Genomic DNA, 27998 nt, shown 5'->3' with positions numbered 1-27998 from the left:
AAGTCGTGCTGCGGAGCCAAATTTGAAGCAAGCGGAGGCGCGGGGGCGCGTCTACGAAGCCGGACCTGTAGCAGTTTCTTTGGCTGCCTGGGCCCCTTGAGTCCAGCCATCATGCCTATCCGTGCTCTGTGCACTATCTGCTCCGACTTCTTCGATCACTCCCGCGACGTGGCCGCCATCCACTGCGGCCACACCTTCCACTTGCAGTGGTGAGTGACTGCAGTGTTGGGGCCCGGTGTTTGCCCGGGTACCGCTTCAGGGCCTTGAGGTGTTGGGCCTCCAGGCGGTCCAACCCCGGAATCCAGACAAGTGATGAGAACCTTCCTCCTAGACGAGGCCCCACGGGAGCTTCCCAACCTGGGCAGAAGTGGGTCAGGACAGGCTTTCTGGTAGAGGTGATAGCTGAGCTAAGCCTGAGGGGGACTAAGATGGCTCAGTGAAGATAGATGCTTCCTTGATCACCTATACAAACAGATGTGATTTCAAAACCGTTAGCCTGGGCAAGGGTGAGCTTTCACCACATCAACAAGTCCTTTTATTTCTTCCAGATAGAAACCTGCTAGGCTTCTGGCTACCCAAGAGAGTTTGCTGTGCCTTACTTGATGGTTTGGAATTATTCTACCCAGAGTCATCTCACTGTCCAGACACCCCAATGTATTCGCCATGTCAGCAAACCCGTTTAACATGGGGAAGGCAAGGAGATGCTCCCCTATCCAGGGGTCCTGCTGACCGTGTAGGGCCATTCTGTTGAGTGTACAGCTAGTGGGGAAAGATTCCCCTAGCAGATGTGGACAGGCCGGTTTGGACCTCCTAGCAAAAGAGATAAGGCAGCGTTACCCCTGGGAATGGTGGGTGATAATAATCACAGGGTCTTGTGGGGCTAAAGGCCCTAGGAAGCAGAAAGGCAGGCATGACACTGATGGCTGCTGGCTTACTTGCAAAGCTTTGTTTAGGCCTGTGTTGCTGACAGCCTGAGCCCCATGCTGAGGGAGCCACTGCTGTTTGGTTAGACTAGAAATTAAGCTCGCCTCTAAGCGTACTCTATTTTCTGTTTGCCTACTCTATTTTCTTCTATCCTTTTACTTTATTTATTTATTTTTATTTTATTTTATTTTTGAGATGGAGTCTCGCTCCTGTCGTGTAGGCTGGAGTGCAGTGGCGTGATCTCGGCTCACTGCAACCTCCACCTCCTGAGTTCAAGTGATTCTCCTTCCTCAGCCTCCCAAGTAGCTGACATTACAGGCGTGCGCCACCACGCCCAGCTAATTTTTGTGTTTTTCATAGACAGGGTTTCTCCATGTTGGCCAGGCTGGTCTCGAACTCCTGACTTCAGGTGATCCACCCACCTTGGCCTCTCAAAGTGCTAGGGCCTATCCTTTTACTTTAAACTTTTCTGTGTCCTTGTGTTTTACATGTATCCCTTGAAACAGCATTTATTTCTTTTTTTGTATATTAAAAAGTACTTTAGCTTACTGCAAAGATCTTTATTTTATTTTATTTTGAGACAGGGTCTCACTCTGTTACACAGGCTGCAGTGCAGTGGTGCCATCTCGGCTCACTGCAGCCTCTACCTCCTGGGCTAAGGTGATTCTCCCATCTTAGCCTCCCAAGTAGCTGGGACTACAGGCGCCTGCCACCATGCTTGACTATTTTTTTTTTTTTGTATTTTTAGTAGAGATGGGGTCTTGCTATGTTGCCCAGGCTGGTCTTGAACCCCTGGACTCAAGTAATCCACCCACCTCTGCCTCCCAAAGTGCTAGGATTACAGGTGTGAACCACCGCACCCAGCCTTGGAAAACAACATTTAGTTGGACTTTTAAAAATCCAGTCTGATAATCTTTGTATTTAACTGGACCATTTAGTCTACTTAAAATTGTTGCAATTACTGATTAAATAAAGAGTAAACATATTGTCTTTAGTCGATTCTGTTTTGCCTTGCCTATTATATCTTATTGTCTCCTTTCTTGCCTTGGTAGGAATTGGTTAAATATTCTGTATTTCTCCATTTTTCCCTCAGTTAGTTGGGTCGTTATATACCCCATTTCCATTTATAAGTGGTTATCCTAGAAATTAAGGTATGTATCCTTAACTTACCAATTTCAAGGTTAATCAACACCTTTCTCATTTTCCCAGGCAACTCAAAGAGCTTAGAATACTAACATTCTTTTCCCACTTCTACGTTATTGTTGAATATTTTAATTGTGTGTATGTGTGGTATTTTTTTCGTTGGTGTTATTTTTGAGACAGAGTCCTGCTCTCTTGCCCAAGCTGGTCTGCAGTGGTACAATCTCTGCTCACTGCAGCCTTGACCTCCTGGACTCAAGCGATCCTCCTGCCTCAGCCTCACAACTAGCTGGGACTACAGGTGCATGTCACCATGCCCAGCTAATTTTTGTTTTTTGTAGAGACAGGATTTCGCCATGCTGCCCAGGCTGGTTTGAAACTCCTGTACTCAAGTGATCCACCCTCCTTGGCCTGCCAAAGTGCTGGGGTTTACAGGCATGAGCCACCACGACCGGCCAATTGTATGTTTTTAAGTAAAGTTTTTGTTTGGAATAATTTTTTTTTTTTTTTGAAACAGGATCGTGCTGTGTCGCCCAGGCTGGAGTTTATAATTGTTTCTTCTTGCAGGATTGAACTTTTTTTAAATGTTCTTCTTTGTCCTTCTTTGTCTCTTGTAACTTTAATTCAAAGTCTGTCTTGCCTAATTTTTTTTTTGAGATGGAGTCTCGTTCTGTGGCCCAGACTGGAGTGCAGTGGCGCAATCTTGGCTCACTGCAACCTCTGCCTCTTGGGTTCACGTGATTCTCCTACCTCAGCCTCCCGAGTAGCTGGGATTACAGGCACACACCACTGTGCCTGGCTAATTTTTTTTGTATTTTTAGTAGAGGCAGAGTTTCACTATGTTGGCCAGACTGGTCTCAAACTCCTGACCTCGTGATCCGCCCACCTCGGCCTCCCAAAGTGCTGGGATTACAGGCGTGAGCTACCGTGCCTGGCCTATCTTGTCTAATTTAAAGTCCATTTTATCTGCTATTAGTATAGCCACTTCAGCTGTCTTTTGGTGACTGCATGGTATATCTTTTTTCATCTGTTTTATTTTATTTTATTTTATTATTGTTTTTAGAGACAAGGTCTCGCTATGTTAGCCAGGCTGGTCTCAAACTCCTGGCCTAAAGCAATCCTCCTGCCTTGGCCTTCCAAAGTGCTGGGAATACAGGTGTGAGCCACCACACTCGGCCCTTATCCAACTTCTAGCTTCCGTTGTAGCTATTGAAGTCAGATTTTAGTTTATCAGTTACTCCTTTAAGCATACTTTGGAACTTTATCCTCAGACTCTCATTACCTTTAGAATTTTCTCTGATTTTGGCTTTCTGCAGTTTTGGTATAGTGTATCCAATATGAATTTCTTTTTACCTTTTTCTTTTCTTTTTTTTTTTTTTGAGACAGAGTCTTGCTCTGTTGCCCAGGCTGGAGCACAGTGGGACAATCTCAACTCACTGCAACCTCCACCTCCCTGGTTCAAGCAATTCTCCTGCCTCAGCCTCCCGAGTAGCTGGGACTAAAGGCACGTGTCATCATGCCCGGCTAAATTTTGTACTTGTAGCAGAGACAGGGTTTCACCATGTTGGCCAGGCTGGTCTCGAACTCCTGACCTCAGGTGATCTTCCCACCTTGGTCTCCCAAAGTGCCGGGATTACAGCCATGAGCCATTGTGCCTGGCCGAATTTCTTTTTACAAATTCTGCTCGGGATTCATTAGATTTCTTTAACGTGTAGAGCAATTTCTTTCTTTCTTTCTTTTTTTTTTGAGACGGAGTCTCGCTGTGTCACCCAGGCTGGAGTGCAGTGGCACGATCTTGGCTCACTGCAAGCTCTGCCTCCCGGGTTCACGCCATTCTCCTGCCTCAGCCTCCCGAGTAGCTGGGACTACAGGCGCCTGCCACCATGCCCAGCTAATTTTTTGTATTTTTAGTAGAGATGGGGTTTCACTGTGTTAGTCAGGATGGTCTTGATCTCCTGACCTCATGATCTGCCTGCCTCGGCCTCCCAAAGTGCTGGGATTACAGGCGTGAGCCACCGCGCCTGGCCGTGTGGAGCAATTTCTTTAATCAGTTCTGGAAAATTATCAGCCATTATCTCTTCATATATTGCCTCTATTCCATTAACTTTTTTATCCTGTGTTATTATTTATTTTTGAGGTAGAGTCTCGCTCTGTCACCCAGGCTGGAGTGCAATGGTCCGATCTCGGCTCACTGCAACCTCCACCTCCTGGGTTCAAGCAATTCTCCTGCGTCAACCTCCCGAGTAGCTGGGATTACAGGCGCTCGCCACCGTGCCTGGCTAATTTTTGTATTTTTAGTAGAGACGGGGTTTCACCATGTTGGCCAGGCTGGTCTTGAACTCCTGACCTCGTGATCTGCCCGCCTCGGCCTCCCAAAGTGCTGGGATTACAGGCGTGAGCCACTGCACCTGGCCTACCTAAAGTCTTTGTGGGCATTTCTTCTGGTTTGTTTTCATAGTGCTTTTTTTTCTTGTGTACCTGTTTACTTAAAAAAATGTTTTTTTGGCTGGGCGCGGTGGCTCACAACTGTAATCCCAGCACTTTGGGAGGCCGAGGCTGGTGGATCACGAGGTCAGGAGATCGAGACCATCCTGGCTAACATGGTGAAACCCCGTCTTTACTAAAAATACAAAAAAATTAGCCGGGCATGGTGGCGGGCGCCTCTAGTCCCAGCTACTTGGAAGGCTGAGGCAGGAGAATCGCTTGAACTCAGGAGGTGGAGGTTGCAGTGAGCCGAGATTGCACCACTGCACTCCCGCCTGGGTGACAGAGCGAGACTCAGTCTTAAAAAAAAAAAAAAGTGTTTTTTTGGCTAGGCATGATGGCTCACCCCTTTAATCCCAGCACTTTGGGAGGTGGCTGGATTGCTTGAGCCCAGGGGTCCAAGACCAGTCTGGGCAACACAGTGACACCCCATCTCTACAAAAAAGTGAAAAAAATATAAATTACCTGGGCATGATGGCCTGTGCCTGCAGTCCCAACTACTTGCAAGGCTGAGGCAGGAGGATCGCTTGAGCCTGGGAGGTTGAGGCTGCAGTGACTCATGATTGTGCTGCTGCACTCCAGCCTGGATGACAGAGTGAGACCCCATTTCAAAAAAAGAACATTTTAAAATTGAAGTATAATATAGTTCAGAAAAGTACACATATTCTAAGTATATGGCTTACAGAATGTTTACAAATTGAACATATCTATGCAGCCAGAATTCAGATCAAGAAACAGGGTATGGCTGGGCGTGTTGATTCACGCCTGTGATCCCAGCACTTTGGGAGGCTGAGGTAGGCAGATTGCTTGAGCCCAGAAGTTCTAGAACAGCCTGAGCAACATGATGAAATCTCTACTAAAAACACAGAAAATTAGCCGAGCATAGTGGCATGTGCCTGTGGTCCCAGCTACCCAGGATGCTGAGGTGATCATCACCTGAGCCTGGGAGGTAGAGTCAGCTGTGAGCCATGATTGCTTTACTGCATTCCAGCCTGGGTGACAGAGTGAGACCCTGTCTCGAAAGTCCCCCCACCAAAAAAAAAAAAGAAAACAGGAAAACGCAGGCTATTGGCCGGGCATGGTGGCTCATGCCTGTAATCCCAGCATTTTGGGAGTCCGAGGCGGGTGGATCAGGAGTTTGAGAGCAGCCTGGCCAACATGGTGAAACCCTGTCTCTACTAAAAAAATATAAAAATGAGCTGGGCATGGTGGCGTGCACCCGTAACCCCAGCTACTCGGGAGGCTGAGGCAGGAGAATTGCTTGAACCTGGGAGGTGGAGGTTGCAGTGAGCCGAGATCGTGCCACTGAACTCCAGCCTGGCTGACAGAGCAAGACTCTGTCTCAAAAAAAAAAAAAAAAAAAAAATGCAGACTATTATCAGCTCTAGAAACCTTCTAGAAACCTCCTTATATGCTCTTCCAACCCCTACCAACACCTCCCTCCACCTCCCCATATTAAGATAGCTACTGTCTTGACTTTGAGAGCATAGATGAATTTTGCCTACTTTTTTTTTTTTTGAGACAGAGTCTCACTATGTCCCTCACGCTGGAGTGCAGTGGCGTGATCTCGGCTCACTGCAACCTCCACCTCCCAGGTTCAAACGATTCTTCTGCCTTAGTCTCCCAAGTAGCTGGGATTACAGGCGTGCGCCACCACACCCGGCTAATTTTTCTATTTTTAGTAGAGACGGGGTTTCACCATGTTGGTCAGGCTGGTCTCAAACTTCTGACCTGATGATCCACCCGCCTCGACCTCCCAAAGTGCTGGGATTACAGACGTGAGCCACTGGGCCTGGCCTGCCTACTTTTAAACTGTGTAAATAGAATCATACAAAATATAACTTTTTGTATCTGGCTTCTCTTCCTCAGTGTTATGTTTTTGTGATTTATTCATAATATTGTTCTTAGCTGTAGACTCATTTATTCTTGCTGTGTAGTATTCCACTGCGCCTGGTTACTCTTGATTATATGTTGTACATGGTATTTGAAAACTTATGGGAATTTTAGCTGGGCATGGTGGTGCACGCCTGTGGTCCCAGCTACTCGGGAGGCTGAGGTGGGAGGATTGCTCGAGCCTGGGAGGCGAAGGTTGCAGTAAGCCAAGATCACACCACTGCGCTCCAGCCTGGGTGACAGATTGAGACCCCATCTCAAAAAAAAAAAAAAAAAAAAAAAAGAAAAGAAAAGAAAATGTACTTATAGGAATCTTTGAGGCCAGGATGATGGTATCATTTTCCAGAGAGGACTTAGTTTCTCCCTGGTCCCTAGGAGTAGGGGAGTCTACTAGTAGGAGACTAATTAAAGTTTAAGGCTTGAGCTTTGCTGGACCACCTGCATAGATGATGCAAAGCTCAGCTGTGTTTTGCTTTTACCACTACTTACTTTTTTTTTTGAGATGGAGTCTCGCTCTGTCGCCCAGGCTGGAGTGTAGTGGCACAATCTCAGCTCACTGCAATCTCCGCCTCCCAGGTTCACACCATTCTCCTGCCTCAGCCTCCCGAGTAGCTGGGACTACAGGTGCCTGCCACCACGTCCGGCTAATGTTTTGTATTTTTAGTAGAGATGGAGTTTCACCATGTTAGTCAGGATGGTCTCAATCTCCTGACCTTGTGATCTGCCCGCCTCGGCCTCCCAAAGTGCTGGGATTACAGGCGTGAGCCACTGCGCCCGGCCACTCTTTTTTTTTTTTAATTAAAAAAATTTTTTTGATTGGGCACAGTGGCTTATACCAATAGTTCCAGCACTTTGGGAGGCTGAGGTGGGAGGAGCACTTAAGCTCAGGAGTTGAGACCAGCTTGGGCAGCACAGTGAGACCCTGCCTCTATTCTGTAAAAAACAAAAAAACAAAAAATTTAATTTAAAAAAATTTTATGGCTGGGTATGGTGGCTCATACCTGTAATCCCAGCACTTTGGGAGGCTGAGGCAGGTGGATCACTTGAGGTCAGGAGTTCAAGACCAGCCTGGCCAACATGGTGAAACCCTGTCTCTACTAAAAACAAAAATTAGCTGGGCGTGGTCGCGCATGCCTGTAATCCCAGCTACCTGGGAGGCTGAGGTAGGAGAATCGTTTGAACCAAGGAGGCGGAGTTTGCAGTGAACCAAGATCGTGCCACTGCACTCCAGCCTGGGCGACAGAGCAAGACTCCACCTCAAAAAAAAAAAAAAAGTTATGAGTACATAGTAGGTATACATATTTATTGGGTTTATGAGATATTTTGATGCAGGGATACACTGTAATAATCACTTCAGGGTAAACAGAGTAGCCATCACCTCAAGCATTTATCATTTTTTTGTGTTACAAACATTCCTATTCTTTTAGTTACTTTAAAATGTACAGTAGATTATTGTTGACTGTAGTCACTCTGTTGTGCTATCAAATACTAGATTTTATTCCTTATATCTAACTTTATTTTTGTACCCTTACTTACTTTTATTTCTGGTTGATCCTTACCTTGAAAGTGTAGTCTTTGGGATTCCAGCTTAAAATGGGGGTGTTATCAGAGTCCTCATCTCTGAGGGCCCCTGAGCTTCGACTATCATCTCTCCCAACCCCAGTCAAAGCCCAGAATGTTGCCTAAAGGACAGCTTTTGGCCAAGCCAACAGGGCCAAAAAAAGGGCCAGCTGGTTGGAGTCCTGAGTACCCATCAGGCCTTGCGGGAGGTGCTGTAACTGCCTATGCTACTGTCCTCTTATTTGGGCAGGCATTGGGTCAAGGAGGAGCAGAACAGACCCTTTCGTGGTCAGAATGTTTGCCTGGCTTATGTCCCCAGACAAACCAGGGCTCATCAGTCTATTGTTCTGCTTTTCATTCCAGCCTAATTCAGTGGTTTGAGACAGCACCAAGTCGGACCTGCCCACAGTGCCGAATCCAGGTGAGAGTATTGGGGTGGGACCACCTCAACTGAAGAGATCTCCTTAGCAGAGAGCAGGAATGTGAAAAGAGCTCTGAAACTGCAATATCTCTGACCTTTTTTGGACCCTCCTGGTTTAAGGCCAGTTGAGCCTCACTTGTGCCCTTGAGTGTTTGGGAGGTCTGCTTACACCCACAGGTAGCTGGCAGATGGACTTGTTGCCTGGGCCAGTTTTCACTTGGGTAGATTTGGCTGGCCTCCTTCCCTGTCTTTTCATCAGTGACTCCGCACCTAGAGTTCAGGTATCTTTTGAGCACTTAACCGTGTAGGTCTGTAGTAATATGACTTCAGTGACCACGAAACCAGCAGCCCCAACTTGGGGTACCTGCAGGAGTAAAGAGGTCTTTTGACTCTAAAGGATGTACTTTGAAAAATTAGGTCTGAGAACAGGCCTGACATGCATGTCAGGCAGGTAGTCAGACCCATGTACAACACTCTCCTCCTTGCGCATGACCCAGCTACACAATCATACTCTTACCTTGTTCTCCCATCCAGGTTGGCAAAAGAACCATTATCAATAAGCTCTTCTTTGATCTTGCCCAGGAGGAGGAGAATGTCTTGGATGCAGAATTCTTAAAGGTACCCAGAATTTATCTGATTCTACTGAACTCCAAGCCTTGTGCGAGTTCACTTTTCTTTTTTCTTTTCTTTTCTTTTTTCTCTTCTCTTCTCTTCTCTTCTCTTTTCTCTTTTCTTTTCTTTTCTTTTCTTTTCTTTTTTTAGAGACAGGGTCTTACTTTGTTGCCCACACTGGAGTGCAGTGGTGCAATCATAGCTCACTATAACCTCAAACTCCTGAGTTCAAGGGATCTCCCCACCTCAGCCTACCTAGTAGCTAGGACTGTAGGGGTGCACCACCATGCTCGGTTAATTTTTTTATTTTATTTATTTATTTATTTATTTATTTATTTATTTATTTATTTTGAGATGAAGTCTCACTCTGTCACCCAGGCTGGAGTGTAGTGGCGTGATCTTGGCTCACTGCAACCTCTGCCTCCTAGGTTAAAACAATTCTCCTGCTTCAGCCTCCCGAGTAGCTGGGACTACAGGCACGTGCCACCATACCCGGCTAGTTTTGTGTTTTTAGTACAGACGGGGTTTCACCTTGTTGGCCAGGCTGGTCTCGAACTCCTGACCTGAAGTGATCCACCCACCTCGGCCTCCCAAAGTGCTGAGATTGCAGGCGTGGGCCACCGTGCCCAGCCCTAATTTATAAAAAAAAATTTTTATAGAGATAGGGCCTTGCTATGTTACCCAGGCTGGTCTTGAACTCTTGGGCTCGAGCAATCCTCCCACCTTGGCCTCCCAAAGGGCTGAGATTACAGGCATGAGCCACTGTGCCTGGCCTGGGAGTTCACTTTCTATTTCCACATAAGTGGAGGGTTCCTGGAATATGGAGATGAAGTTATAGAGGTGAGACTTGGTACAGTTTTCAAGGTGGGGACACAAAAATCAGAGGACAACTGATGAGACACAGTCATCAGAGAAATGCACTGTGAGGGAAGAGGGGAGCTGCTTGACTGTAAACCCTCCCTTTGGGATTTCAGGTCAATTCCAACCTGAATTCTCTCCTGCGGTCTTGTCTCCTCATCTTTTAAAGAACCTACAGCCATCCTGTACAGCCTACTTTGCTGCTTGGACAGTTAGTGACAGATTAGAAAACTCTTCTACTCCCCAGCCACGGGAGATTTTTGGATTCAGTGTTCCCTAGCCTGCCTGTGCCTCAAAATTGCCTGGGGAGGCTGGGCGTGATGGCTCACACCTGTAATCCCAGCACTTTGGGTGACCAAGGTGGGCAGATCACTTGAGCCCAGGAGTTCAAGACCAGCCTGAGCAACATGGGACCCCATCTCTATTAAATAAAAAAAGTTAAAAGAAAAAAAATTGCCTAGGGAGCTTGGTATAAAGTCAGATGCCTGGGCCTTCCCCAGACCAGAGCTCTTGGAATCAAGAGTTGCAGCTCAGGTGGGAATGGATATATTAGGGGAAAGTGGGTAGTTTCCCTCCTATACGTCTAACTGCTTCCCCTCCTAATCTAAAATTTAGCTTTTTTTGTGTGCAAGCAGGCTGCGTTGGCAGAGAACTCTTGAGGAAGTTGGATTTGGGTTCACAAATGATCCCTGGACTCTGAGGGTTAATTTGCTGGATATCTGTCAGATCAGAGTTCATTTGGCTCTGGCCCCAGGGTGTCATGATGTCCTTGGAACCTCACTGCTTCAGGAACATGGAGCTTTTGTGCTTAGAGCAAGCATGTTCATCGTCATGGTAACTGCTCCCAGTTTTAAGTAGTGTCTTCCCTGTGATGAAGGCAACAAAGGCAGTTTCATTTATTTCCAGCTTTCAAAGCCAGGTTTGTGAGACAGGTAGCAACATCTTGGGTAGTTTGGAGCAAGGGCTTGGAAGCCCCTGCTGGAGTGTGGAAGAAGTCAGGGGACTATGGGTAGTGGTGCAGCAGCCATGTCCTGGTATCTGTTCTCAGGCAGCCCTTGCGTGCTCTTCCTTACCCACCACCTCCACTCCCAGCTGTTCAGCCTATGCTAACCAGCCCAGCCACCAGAAGCTCTTGCCCCCAGAGTCCTAGGTGGAGAGTTTGACAGTAGGGGCTTGTTTACCCACTGGGCCTGGGCCATACTATTGGTCACATGTGAAATTCTGAGTCTTCTGTTGATCTTAGACAAGTGATCTACAGTAAGGTTTGCCTGGATTCCATCTAGCTACCACCATGGACCCTTGGTCAAGCGTTTCAGTTTTGTAAAACCTTGGATTTCTTTGTTATGGAGCAGGCACCTCTCTTGCTCATGGGGATGTTGAGTTCTGTGGCATCCTGAACAGGAACTGGGTTCAATTCTGCCACAGCTTCTCAATGATTCTGTGGCATGGCTGTGAAACATTTGCAGGGGCTTTGAGAGGCTCACTTGATCCTCACAATAGTCTAGTTAGAGACTAGACACATGGGAGGTTTCATCCAGGGGTACAAAGCTGTCCTGGCATAGCTACCTCCATTGGATACTAGGTCTGGAAGGTTTGTGGTACACAGAGCCAGTTCAGAGCTTGGAGGAAAGTCGACTATGAATCAGGAAGACCCAGGGTGGAGAGGAGGAGTAGTCGCCCAAGGTCCTTGGCCATTCCTATTGTGTGTCCCTGGTGAGTCAGCTGATGCCCAGAGGGAATGAGACCAACATAGAGCGATGAGGCCAAGGAAGTGATAGAAACTTCTGCTATGGAGACTGATCACAGGGGCCCTACTTTAACTTCCCTTCCACTATTCTACCTCTTTACCTGTCCTGGGGCCTTGCCCCTGAGATTGTTTTCCTCCATCTTACCTACTTTTCAAAAGGGCACATAGAGCTACAGCAGTGCTTATCTTTCCATTGTTAGCTTAGCTTGGCCTTGAGGCACTGCAGGATTCATGCCCTAGAAGGCCTCATTGTTCAATCCTGGGGCTCCCCACAGCCTTATGGGAGACCACGTGGAGGTCAGCTATGATGCTTTCCTGCTGCTTATTGTGGGTATTGCCTTTCAGAATGAACTGGACAATGTCAGAGCCCAGCTTTCCCAGAAAGGTGAGTTAGCAAGAGACGAGGGGTGCTGGGAAGCCCCTGACTTGGATGCTGGAGGAAGGGGGCCCTAGGAGGAAGGTTTCAAACCGTTTGGGAGAGCCAGGGCCTTTCCCTGCTTTGTATGTCCAAGAGTCCTGCTAGCTGTTGTGGTGGGCAGAAAAAGAGAGGGAAGGGAGGTGACTGAAGCTGTTCACCTAGACCAGGTGAGCCTCTTGTCTCTGAGTGCAGCTTCTTGCCCAGGAACCAAGATGGGAGGGGGTTACCTGATGGGACTGAATATCTTCGGGAGAGGGCTCAGCTGCTGAGTTTGGCTGGAACCTGCTTGAGTCCTGGGTTGATGAACTAACTGGACCCATGGCAGGTAGGGAATGGGCAGTAAAATATTTTCCTAAGTAGTTCAAGCAGCAGAAGGTGGGCTTTTCCCTGAATGAAGGCTCTGGCTCAGCTTCTCTGGTTTGGCACATCCCAGAGAAAGAAGCGGGCCACCCAGCTTTCAGGCCTGAGCCTTGTTTCTCACCTGCCTAAGGGATGAGGCACTGAATCCAAGGGCCCAAGTTCTTCTGCTGATGGATGGACAGGCCTTTCCCTTTCCTCCGCCCTCTACCCCTGCTCCAGACAAGGAGAAACGAGACAGCCAGGTCATCATCGACACTCTGCGGGATACGCTGGAAGAACGCAATGCTACTGTGGTATCTCTGCAGCAGGCCTTGGGCAAGGCCGAGATGCTGTGCTCCACACTGAAAGTAGGTCCTCAGGTTTTATGGGTACAGAATTCATAGGGAGGTATTGCCCCAGAACTGGACTCCCCATTCTGGGCTTATCTTCTGGTTCTGCTCCAGTCATCACCTTGGTTTGGGGAGTTGTAAAATAGAGGCAAATCACTTCTTCCCCTTGCCCTTCCATACTGTACCCATCCATCCCATAAGAAAAGGGCCATATTGGCTATACTTGTGGGTTTTGTACTAGGTAGTTTGAAGAGTCAAGGCCTTCCCAGTACCTCACAGAGGGGATGCTCAACTAAGACCTCAGTGAGGCTGGGCCATATTTCCGAAAGTGGTTCATACTCTACTGATGAGGCCAGCCTGAAGAACCTTCCATTAGCACTCTAGTCCTTGGCTGGGCTGCTCTCCTGAGCCAGATCAAACAGCATCCTAGGGAGGAGCAAGGGCCTTTGAAGTCAGCTGTGCTGAGCTGACCAACCAGATCAAAGTCTGCAGAGTGAACAGCCTTAGACCCAGATGAATTTTGCATCAGCCTGGGTTGGTGAGCCTCTTGCTCTCCAAGGGGCATGAGAGGCGATTGATCTGAACCCACGATTGATATTCTGGCCTTGTAGGCAGGAGCAGTCCTTGCTGGATGCCATTTGAAAGGGAAAGGGAGCCATCCTTGTGAACAGACAAGGCCCCAGGATATTCATTGTCTCTGTTCCTGCTTGGGGGCTGGGCTGGATCACATGGTCTGGCTGGTGGGAGGGAGCAAACTGGCACCTGGCTGCAGAGCAGGAGTCTCTCATGGTATTCTCAGGTCAGAGACAAGTGGTCTTAGGCTGAAGGCAGCCTGGCCAGCTTCCCCTGGCTCAATTATTCATTCTTGGCAACTGTCCATGGGTCTGGGTGTTGGATGGTGAGGCCTGGGTTTGTGCTCTGGACTTCTTCAGCCACCTGCACAACATGTACCATGAGGCCCAGACCACTGGACCTTGGCAGCCCACAGTGGGCCTGTAAATGCTGGCAGTGGGCTGTGTCTACTGTAAGATACCTTTCAGGAGGAAGCAGGCAGGGAGGTGAAGAAGCAGCTGGCTTAGAGCCTTTTAGAAGAAGAAGCACAAGCGAGAGTGGGACCCAGGAGCTTTACCTCCTGGGGTTTGGGAGTACATGGTTATCAGCATTTTCAAAACATAAGCTGCAGAGAGTTCTGGAGCAGAGTTTTCCTAGTGACTTTAGCAATGGCTCCTGAGGGCCTCCAAGCATCAGGTATGGGTGTATTTGCTCTTCAGAAGCAGATGAAGTACTTAGAGCAGCAGCAGGATGAGACCAAACAAGCACAAGAGGAGGCCCGCCGGCTCAGGAGCAAGATGAAGACCATGGAGCAGTGAGTTTGGAGCTGGGTCCTGCACTGTGCCTTTGCCCCCAGGGCCTGCAAGTGGTACAGTTCTTAGGACTGCAGCAGGGAGTGGGATTGGGTCATGTCCGAGGCTCAAATCTCCATAGGCCATGGAGGGCTCAGGTCAGCTGGGTGTGGGCACAGATCTTAGCCTCTATGAACTCTTCCCCCATTCCAAGGAATGGGAGCCCTTGCCACATTCCTCCCTGTCTCTGCTGCCTGTGGCCAGATGACCTGGTGGGTCTTTCCTTCCAGAAACCTCTCTCCAGGAAATCCCTGACCTTGAGACCCTCTTTCAGCACCTCTTCTTTCTCAGCAGCATCCTTGGAGCTATGCTCATCTCTGCCACAGGGCCTTTCCTTGGGCACACCCACCTACTAAAGCATCCTGGCAGCCTAGCCTGTTACCTTAGCAACGGCAGCAAAGGAAGGCAGAGCGGCACTGGGTACCTACCCATCAGCCTCCAGATTGCAAATGCCGTGGGCTGGGTGTATTTTTCAGGATTGAGCTTCTACTCCAGAGCCAGCGCCCTGAGGTGGAGGAGATGATCCGAGACATGGGTGTGGGACAGTCAGCGGTGGAACAGCTGGCTGTGTACTGTGTGTCTCTCAAGAAGTGCGTACTGTGGCCCCTCTCAGCAAACACAGGAGATAGGCCATGGGGCCCCAGCCGTGTCATTGCTCCCCATCTCTTGTAAAGCAGATGGAACTAAGGGGCAAACTCTGGAGCCATGCTGCCTTTGTTTGAACCCTGATTCCACCTTTCAGCAACTATGTGGCCTGCTGCCAGTTTCTTGGCCTCTTTGACCCTCAACTTCCTGAATGGAAATAGTAGTAGACCTGCCTCATAGGATTGTTGAGGATTTAGTGTGAATCTTAAGTGCTGTTTCTAAGGGAGTTGACCTAGCTCTCTGGGCTATAAGCCCCATTGTGATTGATATGTAGAGCCTGTTCCCCATTAGCACTATGATCCTGCCTGGCTGGGATCAAACTCTACTCATATTCTTCACTCTGGTGGGTGTAAGGTTGGCAGGAAGGGTGGAGGGCCACTTAGCTGAGAGGCATAGAGGGTCCAAGATGCCTCCTTTAAGACCAGGTGGTTTAGGGAGCCCCCTAGTGAGACTGGGGCTTTCTGCATGCCCTCTCAAGTCACCAGTGCCTGCAGGACAGGCAGGAGGAAATAGTCACTTCCTTGCATTCTCTGCAGGACCCTCCACAGTGCCACCTGGTACTTGTTGGGCTCAGGTGTCAAAGTAGGAATGAGAGTGAGTTGAGGGGTTGGGCAGTGCTTTGTGTTAGATTAGTGCTGTGGCTCAGTCTGACCTGCAGGTGTTCTTTTCTGGCATCTCTTTCCATGGCCACATTGCAGAGAGTACGAGAATCTAAAAGAGGCACGGAAGGCCTCAGGGGAGGTGGCTGACAAGCTGAGGAAGGATTTGTTTTCCTCCAGAAGCAAGGTAACTTAGCAGTGAACAGAGGTTGAAGGAGAAGTGGCTCTCCTTTTGTCATGTTCACTCTGGTCTCCTGAGCAAGGCCATGGGACCTGATGGCACAGCTGACTCCCTGGGGCAGCTGGAGGACTTACAGAAATTTGTTACCAGTCCTTACTGGGCATTGGCCTGAATATGTGGCTTGTCCACTAGGGGTGGACAGATCACAGAGGTATCCCCCAACATGTGGACACTGATGCTCCCCTCTGCTCTTCCTGGCTCCTGGGTACCTCTCAGCTGGCTGGAGAGCACAGGCCTCAAATGTGACAGCATCAGAGGCCTATTTTTGTACCACATCTGGAGTAGAAGGGCTCCTGGAACCTGATTCGGTCAGCACAGCTGCTTTTACTTCTGGCATGGTGCATCCACAGGCTGCAGGATGTAGGAAGCAGCCTTTGCTTCTAGGCAGCTCCGGATGTGCATTGCCAGACTGAGGCCTAGCCTCAGAGAGCTGGGATCTCTGCCCATATCTCTAGTCTCTTCTGGGCTACCTTGATCACTCCCTGGGGAGCAGCAGGAGGGGGCAGGGCACAAGGCTACCACTTGGCTTGTCTTTCATTCCCTACACTTTCTTATAGTTGCAGACAGTCTACTCTGAATTGGATCAGGCCAAGTTAGAACTGAAGTCAGCCCAGAAGGACTTACAGAGTGCTGACAAGGAAATCATGGTGAGGGACATCCCTGGCTTGACAGGAATGAGGGGTGGTTTGTGTGCCCTCCCAGAGCAGGGCTGGGCTATCTCTGCCCAGGACCCTTGCACCAGTCAGTGGTGGTTCTGGGCCCCTGCATCCTCCTGGGTCAGGGTGTGCCCCTTGGCCCTGGTCCGGACTGGAGCCTGGGCCTCCTCAACAGAGGGCAGACAGAACCATGAGTCTTCCCTCATAGTCTGTCCTGCACTTACATCCCTGAGGTCCCTTATCAGAGGAGGGGCTCTACCTGGGGCTTGGCCTCCTGAGCCTAATGATGAGGTATCAGGCCTTGCTCTGTTCCCAGTGGGCTGGCCTTTCATGCATGCTGCTCATGTCCTCTGCATTATCTCCGGACTTGATGCCTCAGCCTTTCTCTCACACACTTTTCTTTCCCTCCCCAAGAGCCTGAAAAAGAAGCTAACGATGCTGCAGGAAACCTTGAACCTGCCACCAGTGGCCAGTGAGACTGTCGACCGCCTGGTTTTAGAGAGGTTTGTTGAGCCTTGGGCGGTACAGGGGTCACAAGGTGGGAGAGCTTTCTGGTAACAGTCTTTACTCCTCCTGGCTTTGGTGGGGTGGGTGACCTCTGTGGACCTGATGTCTGCAGACAGCCTGCCCTGGGAGCCAGCCAAGATTTAGCTGGCAAGCAGCCTTGAAGCAAATTAGGCTCTGACACGGAGAGGCCAGAGAAGGCCAGAGGACCTAGAAGTGGTCTGAGAATAGGGCAGAAGCACTGACTGTCTTGGGGCATCCTGTTTATGGAGTAGCTCCCCACATTTATCTGTCCACCCCAGATTTTGAAACAAATATGAAACCACTGTAAAATAATTCCCTTAGTGCCAGGAGTGCGTGCTTTAAAGCTGCCAGCAGAGGGAGCCACGAGGCAGAAGGATTGGTGTCCCTGCAAGCATGGGCATCCATTTCTGCTCCTGAGAGTTTCACAGAAGCAGACTAGCTGAGAGCATCCTCAAGGCTACCTCCTGCCTGCCAAAAGTCCCCAGCAAGGACCCAGACAGAAAGCACACAACTCCTGTCAGTGGCCCCAGTCTTTTTTTTTTTTTTCCTTTTTCTTTTTTTAATGGAGTCTTACTCTGTTGCCAGGCTGGAGTGCAGTGGCACTATCTCGGCTCACTGCAATCTCTGCCTCCTGGATTCAAACAATTCTCCTGCCTCAGCCTCCTGAGTAGCTGGGATTACAGGCGCGCACCACCACGCCTGGCTAATTTTTTGTATTTTAGTAGAGACGGGGTTTCACCATGTTGGCCAGGATGGTCTCGATCTCCTGACCTCGTGAGCCACCTGCCTCGGCCTCCCAATGTGCTGGGATTACAGGCGTGAGCCACTGCGCCCAGCCCAGTCTTTAATCTTTTTTTTTTTTAGATGGAGTCTCACTCTGTTTCCCAGACTGGAGTACAGTGGTGCGATCTCGGCTCACTGCAACCTCCGCCTCCCAGGTTCAAGCGATTCTCCTGCCTCAACCTCCTGAGTAGCTGGGATTACAGGCATGTGTCACCATGCCCAGCTAATTTTTGTATGTTTTGGCAGAGACGGGTTTCACCATGTTGGCCAGGCTGGTCTTGAACTCCTGACCTCAAGCAATCTGCCCACTTGGGCCTCCCAAAGTGCTGGGATTACAGGTGTGAGCCACCGTGCCTGGTTGCTTTTGTTTACTTTCTTTACCTCTTCAGGGTGCTGGAAGGCCTGGACTCCTACAGCAGGTCCTTGATGAGTGCCCACTGCATGGCAGACCTTCTCTGTTCTCTTGGAGCTTATGTTCCAGTGGGATAGATGAGCTTGGAGCTTAGATGGCTAAGCCCACAGCCAACCAGCTATATACTACATTATAGAATCTGGTCTGTAGCTCCCAGTTGGGGACGGGCCCACCTCATTCTGAGTAAGCTTCATGCCAGGGCCTGCAGCCCATCTTGGTACAGGGAGGACAGCAATGGTCTCCCTTGGCTTTCAGGCCAGCAGGACACTAAACTTGACAAGCCTTCTTCTGTAAGCTGGGCTGGGCTTCTCATCAAGCCACATGAGGATGACTTCATTCATTTTTGTCTCCAGTATTTTTCTGGGCATAAATATTGAAGTGGTTGGCTGGGTGCATTGACTCATACCTGTAATCTCAGTGCTTTGGGAGGCCAAGGTGGGAGGATTGCTTGAGTCCAGGAGTTCAAGACCAGCCTGGGCAACATAGTGAGACCCTGTATCAAAAAACTTAAAACTTAGCCAAGCATGGTGGCACACACTTGTAGTTCTAGTTACTCAGGAGGCCAAGGCAGGAGGATCACTTGAGCCCAAGAGTCGAGCTATGATTGTGCCACTGCACTCCAGCCTGGGAGACAGAGTAAGACCCCGTCTCTCTTGGAAAAAAAAAAAAAGTCCGGGCGTGGTGGCTCACACCTGTAGCCCCAGCACTTTGGGAGGCTGAGGTGAGTGGATCACCTGAGGTCAGGAGTTCGAGACCAGCCTGACCAATATGGTGAAACCCCGTCTCTACTAAAAATAGAAAAATTAGCTGGGTGTGGTGGCAGGCGCCTGTAATCCCAGTTACTTGAGAGGTTGAGGCAGGACAATCGCTTGACCCTGGGAGGTAGAGGTTGCAGTGAGCCGAGATCGTGCCACTGCACTCCAGCCTGGGTGACAGAGAGACTCCGTCTCAAGCAAAAACAAAAAAAAATTACGGTGGCAGGTCTGTTTGTTTTTAGCAAAAGCCCTTCTTTTAACTAGGCATTAGGCAGCACCAGCACAGTCTATTCTTGTGTTTGTTTGTTGGTTTGTTTGTTGGTTTGTTTGTTTTGAGATAGGGCCTCATTCTGTTGCCCAGGCTGGAGTGCAGTGGTGTGATCACAGCTCACTGCAGCCTCAACCTCCTGGGCTCAGGTGATGTGATCCTGCCTCAGCCTCCTGGGTAGCTGGGACTAAAGTGCTGGGATTACGAGCGTGAGCCACCATGCCCAGCCTAGGCACAGCCTCTTCTAAACTCATAGCCTCAAACTCTCAAAAATAGTTGTTGAATCCTCAGCAACGGCATTGCCCTGTCTTCTTTGTGTTCTGATGGCAAGACCCTCAGAACTACAAGTGACCTCAAAGACTCTGCCTCTACCTTTCTCCTGTGACTGCTAATGTGTTACTACAGAGGTCTGGAAGAAGTCTTAAGTTTTCTTGGGCCACCTACTCGGGAGGCTGAGGTGAGAGGATCACTTGAGCCTGGGAGGTCAAGACTGCAGTAAGTGATGATCACGCCACTGCACTCTAGTCTGGGCGACAGAGTGAGACCTGTCTCAAAAAAAAAAAAAAAAAAAAAAAAGTCATGTCAAGGAAGATGGAAGAGTAGAAAGCTCCAGGAATCCATCTCTCCATGGCAACAGTTGATCTGGTTGAAACCATCTGAAGCAACCACTTTGGAAATCTGGTCTAGTAGAACATTTCCAGTATCCAGGGGAGAGGGTGATGAAGAAGCTGGTAAACTTCAGTAAATTTTCACTGTTCTCATAGCAGCTCCACCTCCTGGGCTCAAGTGGTCCTCCTGCCTCAATCTCCTGAGTGGCTGGGATTGACTACAGGCATGCACCACCACGCCCAACTAATTTTTTGTAGAGGCAGGGTCTCACTTATTGTCCAGGCTGGTCTTGAACTCCTGGCCTCAAGCGATCCTCCTGCCTGGGCTTCCCAAAGTGCTGGGTTACAGGCGTGAGCCACCGCTTTGCTTTGCTTTGCTTTGCTTTGCTTTTTCTTTTTCTTTTTCCTTTTCTTTTCTTTTCTTTTTTTTGAAACAGTGTCTTGCTCTGTTGCCTAGGCTGGAGTACAGTGGTGCAATCTTGGCTCGCTGCAACCTCCGCTTCCCGGTTGAAGAGATTCTCCTGCCTCAACCTCCCCAGTAGCTGGGATTATAGGCACGCACCACCATGCCCAGCTAGTTTTTTGTATTTTTAGTAGAGATGGGGCTTCACCATGTTGGCCAGGCTGGTCTTTAATTCCTGATCTCAAGTGATCTTCCCACCTCGGCCTCCCAAAGTGCTGGGATTATAGGTGTGAGCCACCACACCCAGCCACCACCATTTCTTAATTTAAAATTAGGAAAATTAATAAATCTCTGGCTGGATATGGTGGCTGTACTAAAAATACAAAAATTAGCCAGGTGTGGTGGTACACGCCTATAATCCCAGCTACTTGGGAGGCTGATGCACAAGAATGGCTTGAATCTGGGAGGTGGAGGTTGCAGTGAGCCAGAATCGTGCTACTGTACTCCAGCCTGGATGACAGAGCGAGACTGTCGCAAAAACAAAAACAAAAAAAAATTAAGAATTTTTTTTTTTTTTTTGAGATGGAGTCTTGCTCTGTAGCCCAGGCTGGAGTGCAGTGGCACGATCTCGGCTCACTTCAAGCTCCGCCTCCCCGGTTCACGCTATTCTCCTGCCTCAGCCTCCCGAGTAGCTGGGACTACAGGTGCCCGCCACCACGCCCGGCTAATTTTTTGTATTTTTAGTAGAGACAGGGTTTCACCGTGTTAGCCAGGATGGTCTCCATCTCCTGACCTTGTGATCCACCCACCTCGGCCTCCCAAAGTGCTGGGATTACAGGTGTGCGCCACCGTGCCCGGCCAAGAAGTTTCTTAAGTTTTTTAAGAAGCTTCTTAATTTTTATAACTTTTTACTGCAGCAGTATTTTTTATTGTAGTAAAATATAAACAAAACTCACCATTGTAACCATTTTTAAGTACATTTCTGTGGCATCAAGTACATTTAATTGCTGTGCAACCATCACCACCATCCCACTCCAGAATGTTTTCATCTTCCCAAAGTGAAATTCTATACCCATTAAACAATAACTCCCCTTTCCCCTTTCTCCTCAGCTCCTTCACTTACCATTCTTTCTGTCTCTATCAATTTGACTACTTTAGGAGCCTCATATAAGTGGACTCATACAATATTTGTCCTTTTATTACTGGCTTATTTCACTTAGCATAATGTCTTCAAGGTTTATCCATGTAGCATGTATTAGAATTTTCTTCCTTTTTAGGGCTGAATCAGTAATCATATTTAATTTTTTTTTGAGACAGGGTCTTGCTCTGTTGCCCAGGCTGGAGTGCAGTGGCACGATCTCGGCTCACTGCAACCTCCACCCCCTGGGTTCAAGGGATCCTCCCACCTCAGCCTTCCAAGTAGCTGAGATTACAGGCATGTGCCACAATGCCCAGTTAATTTATTTAATTTTATTTTTTGTAGAGATAGAGTCTTAATATGTTGCCCAGGTCAGTATTGAACTCCTGGCCTCAAGCCATCCTCCCACCTCAGCCTCCCAAATTGTTGGTATTACAGGCGTGAGCTACTGTGCCTGGCAGTATTCATGTTTTAAATTTGCAAGCATTCTTTCTTGCTCTTTGAGTATGTCTGTTTTGCAAAGCATCATGTTCTTGTTTTATGGTCTCATATTTCTGTTTGTCTCAGAGTCAGTATTTGTGCACCATGGACTTTTTCCTGGGCTCCCCTCCCATACCTGGTGGTCCTTGGCTACTTTGGAGGCCAACCTATGTGGGTAGGGTTTGGGGGGGATGTGCAGACTGCTGGCATCATGTTGAGTCTTACCTGAACCCAGGATGCAGAAGGCTTTACTGTTGGGTCCAATAATATTGGCTGCCCTAGGTCATTGTACATAGTTTGTTTAGTGTCTTTGAGAAAAGCTCTTCTATTTATTGGCCCAGGGCAGCAGCCTAACTGCCTAGTGTTCTACCAATGCAGATTAGGATGGGGTGGAGCCAAGCTCACAATTTCATCAGTGTTCCAGTTTTCAGGCCTGTTTAATGCTTTTGCAAGGCCCTCCCTTTCCTTCATGGACCCCCTCCTTGTGGGTTCTGGCTGCTGTGTCAGTCTCTTGTCCCCTGGCCATGCTTTGTCTCCCAGAATTTTTTGGAAATCTCTGGGGGCTGATGGTGGTTGCCCCTTCTACTTGTTGCAGTAGGATTACCCTTCATACCTGTCATTTTAGGGAGGCATCAGCATGTAGCCACCACCCCCAACTACAGAGTCAATGTTAGGAAGATCTCTCTCATGGGCCCCAAGGGCCCCTGAACTCCAGGCTAGAGACAGCCAGGGAGACCTTTCCTTAGGGTAGGGTAAGGCCGCCAGGAGCCATGAGTTCATGGAGGAGATGTTGACTAATCCCATGCCACGCAGGCAATGGGCTGCTCAAGGCCTTAGCTCTGTTCTGGAAAGGGGAGCTTTGAGTGTCTTGCCTGGCTCCCTGAGGCCTCTGGCATGAAGCCCTGTAACTTGACCATGGGTGGGTGTCCCAAGGGTGATAGTGTCACTCAGGAGGGCCTCAAGCCAGCCTCAACCAGTGAGGGAAGGACTACTAAGCCCTAGGTTCTTTCTCCTTGTAGGACAAACAGAAAGTGGGAAGGAAAGAAAGTGGACCCCTGGCAGAAAGGGAAATAGGCTTCAAGCTCATGAAGGAAGAAGAATATAGAAACAGTCTAAGACAAGGCCGGGCGCGGTGGCTCATGCCTGTAATACCAGCACTTTGGGAGGCCGAGGTGGGCAGATCACGAGGTCAGGAGAGCGAGACCATCCTGGCTAACACGGTGTAACCCCATCTCTACTAAAAATACAAAAAATTAGCTGGGCGTGGTGGCGGGCGCCTGTAGCCCCAGCTACTCAGGAGGCTGAGGCAGGAGAATGGCTTGAACCCGGAAGGCGGAGCTTGCAGTGAGCCGAGATCGCACCACTGCACTCCAGCCTGGGTGACAGAGCAAGATTCCGTCTCAAAAAAAAAAAAAAGAAACAGTCTAAGAGAGGAAGAAATGTGTCCATATGATCCAGATGTGGATATGGGGAGTGAGGGAGGCACCGTGAGAACCTCCTGAGTCTTGAGTTTAGTGTTGTGGATGACCAGGAGGTGCAAGTGAATAAGCCTGGCTTGCCTTGAGCTTGGGCACCACTAGGCAACGCCTTAGGGGATGGCTGGGAGTAGAAAGTCCTGCCTTGAGCCACCTGGAGGGTAAAATTTACAGGACCCAGCGAGATCCTGCCTTCCTCTTGAGTTTACCTTTCCTAACCTGAGCCTCAACTTGCTGGGGTTGGTAAATGGTGGCAGAATATGGATACTGCAAAAAAGTTGGCATGAGTGGTCCTGGCTGCTGTGGTTCCCAGAGGAGGAAGCAAAGCAGCCAGCCTAGAGTTGGTTTGAGGTGGGTTTGTGCAGTCTTCATTTTAACTTGCAGGCGGGGACAGAGGTAGAGCTTCTAGGGTCCTGGACAGGGAAAGGAAGAAATAGTCCAGGCTGCCTGGATTGCTTAGCCACCCAAATCAATGCAGGTAGGCTTCCTCCCTCTGATGTGTACACCCCAGTGGAAGTGGGATTGTGGTGCAGCTCTGAAAAGTTCCTGAGGAAGGAAAGAGAGAAGGCATCTTTGGAGCTACCCTTGCCATTCCCCAGGGTTCTCCTTGTATGACAGGAGGTGGGGAGCCCTGCCAGGTCTGGGTGGGCTGGAAGAATCCTGTCGGCTGTAGTTTTAATAGAATAAAACTTCACTCCCCACCCCCCACCCCCCCCCCCCCCCCGTGTTATAAAAGTAAAAACACACTCATTGAGAATTTGGAAAATAGGGAGTTATCATAGAGGTACTTATGGTTGACATGTGGAATATTTCCTTCTCCTTTTTCTGCATGTGGGAGTGGTGGGGGGGTGCCAAATCATGTAATTGCACTATACATGGAGTTTTGTGTGCTTTTTAAATTAAATTAAATTTAAACTTTTTTTTTTTTTTTTCCTGAGACGGAGTCTTGCTCTGTCGCCCAGGCTGGAGTGCAGTGGCGCGATCTCGGCTCACCGCAAGCTCTGCCTCCCGAGTTCAAGCAATTCTCCTGCCTCAGCCTCCCGAGTAGCTGGGACTACAGACACAAGCCACCACACCCAGCTAATTTTTGTATTTTTAGTAGGATGGGGTTTCACCATGTTAGCCCGGGTGGTCTTGATCTCTTGACCGCTTGATCCACCCGCCTTGGCCTCCCAAAGTGCTGGGATTACAGGCGTGAGCCACTGTGCCTGGCCGAGAGTAGGGCTCTCTTGAGGGGTGGCCTTGAGTCAGGAGTGGGCTCCAGGTCCCTGGAGCTGAGTTATCTCTGATGCTTCAGGAGCTGTTGTCCTGGGTTACCACTGTGGCCCCAAGTAACCAGGTCATCTCTGCCTTCAGCCCAGCCCCTGTGGAGGTGAATCTGAAGCTCCGCCGGCCATCCTTCCGTGATGATATTGATCTCAATGCTACCTTTGATGTGGATACTCCCCCAGCCCGGCCCTCCAGCTCCCAGCATGGTTACTACGAAAAACTTTGCCTAGAGAAGTCACAGTGAGTGATAGTCGCTGGCACTGTCCATGGGCTGGTAGGGGGATAGCTAAGACAGCTCTGCAGGCCCTGTGCTGTTAGCTCTGAGTGGCTGATGGGGCAGTGAGGGTTGCCTAGGCTTGGCCATGGCTTTGGTTCCAGCTACCTCTTGTTCCCTCACCTGAGCACTCAATCTGTGCAAACCCCTTCTCTTTTCTCATTATTCCTCACCATCACCTTTCAAGGCAAACGTATTGGAATGCAAGTTAGAGAGAATGCAGTGATGCCAGAAGGGGTGGGTCTGGGCTGGAGAGGGTGCTCCCAATACCTTGAAGGCCTGCCCACCAGAGTCCTGAGCGAGGGACTCTGAACTTCCTCTTCTATGTTTGCCTCTGAGGCTCATGCCTGAGGGAGGATCATCTCAAACCACAGAGCCCAAGGCCTTACCACCCAAGGGGGTGACCCACAGGGGCAAGCATGAGAAGCTGTCTGGAATTCCAGTGGGGCAGGTGGAACCTGCTCTGGGGTACGGTGGGACCAGAAAAAGGGAGGCTGTCTCCTTGGCCAGCTTTGCCAAGTGTAATTCACTGTGGAGACAAGGACTATACTCATTCATACAGGTACTGTTCAGGTGAGGCTGGTCAAGGGCTGGGCAGGTTTCCTCTTTTTCAAAGACTTTGTACAGAGAGAAAGAAGAGAAAGAGAAAGAAACTGAGATGCTAGACAGTGGAGGTGGAAGGGAGCAAGAGGGCAAGCCAGCTGGGCTGTCCTACCTCCCAAACCTCAGGGGGCATGGGCACCCCTGTTGTAGAGGGCGAGGCCTGGTAGCAATGAGAAACAAACCTAGGACCCGTGGGCTGTAGTCCTCAGGGATCCTGTCAGTGTCTGCTGTGTACTCTGGCTTCCTCCCATTGCCCTTCTTCCGCTGTAAAGGTTGAAGGTGGACACCTGGGGTCTTCAGGCTGCCAGGCCTTTCAGAGACATTTCCACCACCTTCATGGCCTGTGGAGGTAGTGAAGGAGGTAGTGAAGTTCTGAGTCCCTAACTCAGCTCGTCCTTCCTGGAGCCTTGGTTGTCATGTAGCCTTACCACAGGCCGTTAGGGCAGGAGCAGAGGAGTCAGTCATCAGGCCCTGATCCCACTCTTGTCCTTATGGCTTGAGAAGCCACAGGGCCAGCCTTAGATCACCATCTTCTCACCCACCAGGGAAAATGCCAGGAGAGGGTATCCAGCTGCTGGGTTCCCCAGGAATTGGATGGAAATACAGTTTCTGGCTCTGGGGCTGGGATTGGGAGACCAGGGCCTGGGGCCATGCGCTATTCTGCCCCAGGCCCTTCTTAGACACACTCTCTAGGGAGATGGCTTGGCCCTGTGTTCTGAGAGGATTTTGTGGGCTACTTTACTGAAAGGCTAACTTACTGAGGCTCTCGTGGAGGTAGTGTCCCCTCTCTGGGAAGACAGGACTAGGCCTGAGCTCATTAAATTTCTTTTGCTCGTATCAGGGCATGACTGGCTTTCCTCCCGTGGGTGGTGAGTTGATTGGGCTCTTCAGCCCCATATAGAGCCTGGGACATGGTGAGGTGCCCGAGGACTTGAGGAGCGTTGGAATTTGGCCTTGAGTGGAAGCCACAGGATTGGGACATGGTCCAGTCATCCCCAGTCATCCCTGTCTCTGCCACCCTACTGGCTGTGGCTGTCCAGCTGTTAACAGACCTGCACTTGGGGTGGGATCACTGAGGTGCCTTGCCCAGAATGCAGGCATGGCAGCAGCAGTGCCACATGGTAACTCCCCAAGGGGCGTGTGCTGAGCCTGGTTCACCTGCCCCCATGTCTTGCTTACCTACCCCTTGCCTTCTCTCTCATTCTTGTAGCTCCCCAATTCAGGATGTCCCCAAGAAGATATGCAAAGGCCCCAGGAAGGTAAGAGCTTTCTAGAAGAAGCACAGTCTAACCTTTGGCAGGACTGGACTTTTGGGAGGGCACGGTCTTGCCAGAGCCTTGTCACTCCTGGTCCAGGACTGAGGTACTTCGGAGCCACCCTTGGGATTCTACTCATTATCCCTCCTGCCTCCTAGTGAGGCATCAGAGATCCTGATCTTGTTCCACCACCACTACCCTCCCTCCTTTGCTGACATCCAGCTCATCAAGTCTGGCCCTGGGGTCTTCCCTGCAGGAGTCCCAGCTCTCACTGGGTGGCCAGAGCTGTGCAGGAGAGCCAGATGAGGAACTGGTTGGTGCCTTCCCTATTTTTGTCCGGAATGCCATCCTAGGCCAGAAACAGCCCAAGAGGCCCAGGTCAGAGTCCTCTTGCAGCAAAGATGTGGTGAGTGTGGCTTCCCACAGTGGCAGGAGCCAGCCCTCTTGGGTAGAAATGGGTGGCCAGCCCCCCAGCCCATTAGCCTGGCCCACTCATCTCTTCCTTCCACCCTAGGTAAGGACAGGCTTCGATGGGCTCGGTGGCCGGACAAAATTCATCCAGCCTGTATCCTTTTCCTGTGATGTTGAGCTGAGCTGAACTGTGGAGCCCATACTATGCCTCACCTATACCCCCAGCCTGCCAGTGCCAACAGCCTCAGGTGTGCAGTGCTGGGCCTCATTCTGTGTATCAGCGCCGCCCACCCCCGGCTCTGAGCCTTTCTTGCCCTGCATTGCAGTCCTTTCTCGCCCTGCATTGCAGTCCTTTCTCCATGCCTCTTCCTTGACAGCTCCTCCAGACTGACACAGTCATGATCCGCCCATTGCCTGTTAAGCCCAAGACCAAGGTTAAGCAGAGGGTGAGGGTGAAGACAGTGCCTTCTCTCTTCCAGGCCAAGCTGGACACCTTCCTGTGGTCGTGAGAACAGTGAGTCTGACCAATGGCCAGACACATGCCTGCAACTTGTAGGTCAAGGACTGTCCAGGCAGGGGTTTTGTGGACAGAGCCCCACTTTCGGGACCAGCCTGAGGTGTAAGGGCAGACAAACAGGTGAGGGTGAGTGTGGCACCCAGAGACTGCTCTTCCTGCCCTCACCCTGCCCCACTCCTACGACTGGGAGCTGACATGACCAGCCCACTGATCCTGTCAGCAGGTCCTGCTCCTGTTGCCAGGCTCCTGTTTATAGCCATGATCAGATGTGGTCAGACTCTTTCTGGGCCTGGAGACCACGGTCACTTGTTGACTGTCTCTGTGGACCAGAGTGCTTGAGGCATCTCAGGCAGCCTCAGCCCAAGCTTCTACCTGCCTTTGACTTGCTTCTAGGCATAGCCTGGGCCAAGCAGGGTGGGGAATGGAGGATAGCATGGGATGTATGGAGAGGATGGAAGATTTTCATGTAAAATAAAATTAAAAAAAAAAAACAATCTCTTCTTCCTGGTTCTGAGAGTGTAAATTTGC

General features: G+C 49.8%; 1 protein-coding gene across 4 annotated transcripts; it reads left to right on the top strand.

Annotated features, from left to right (window-relative positions):
* TRAIP (TRAF interacting protein) lies at nt 1-27964 on the top strand. Of its 4 annotated transcripts, NM_005879.3 has the most exons (15): nt 1-209; nt 8365-8422; nt 8957-9040; nt 11985-12024; nt 12637-12764; nt 14018-14112; nt 14626-14739; nt 15493-15580; nt 16192-16281; nt 16705-16793; nt 24497-24649; nt 26497-26545; nt 26799-26948; nt 27057-27107; nt 27340-27964. In NM_005879.3, the coding sequence occupies exons 1-15, from the start codon at nt 112-114 to the stop codon at nt 27460-27462; spliced, it is 1410 nt and encodes a 469-aa protein (NP_005870.2). In that variant the 5' UTR covers nt 1-111; the 3' UTR covers nt 27463-27964. The 4 variants fall into 4 exon arrangements, 3 of the variants coding, with proteins under 3 accessions (NP_005870.2, XP_016861015.1, XP_047303196.1); XR_007094382.1 differs by lacking the exons at nt 26497-26545; nt 26799-26948; nt 27057-27107; nt 27340-27964 and adding an exon at nt 23525-23618 and having other exon boundaries at nt 24497-24583; XM_017005526.2 differs by lacking the exons at nt 14018-14112; nt 14626-14739; nt 15493-15580.

Source organism: Homo sapiens, chromosome 3, assembly GCF_000001405.40.
Source record: "Homo sapiens chromosome 3, GRCh38.p14 Primary Assembly".
NCBI classification, from domain to species: domain Eukaryota; kingdom Metazoa; phylum Chordata; class Mammalia; order Primates; family Hominidae; genus Homo; species Homo sapiens.
The sequence above is the reverse complement of the archived record's forward strand: the minus strand, read 5'-3'. Positions and strand labels throughout refer to the sequence as shown.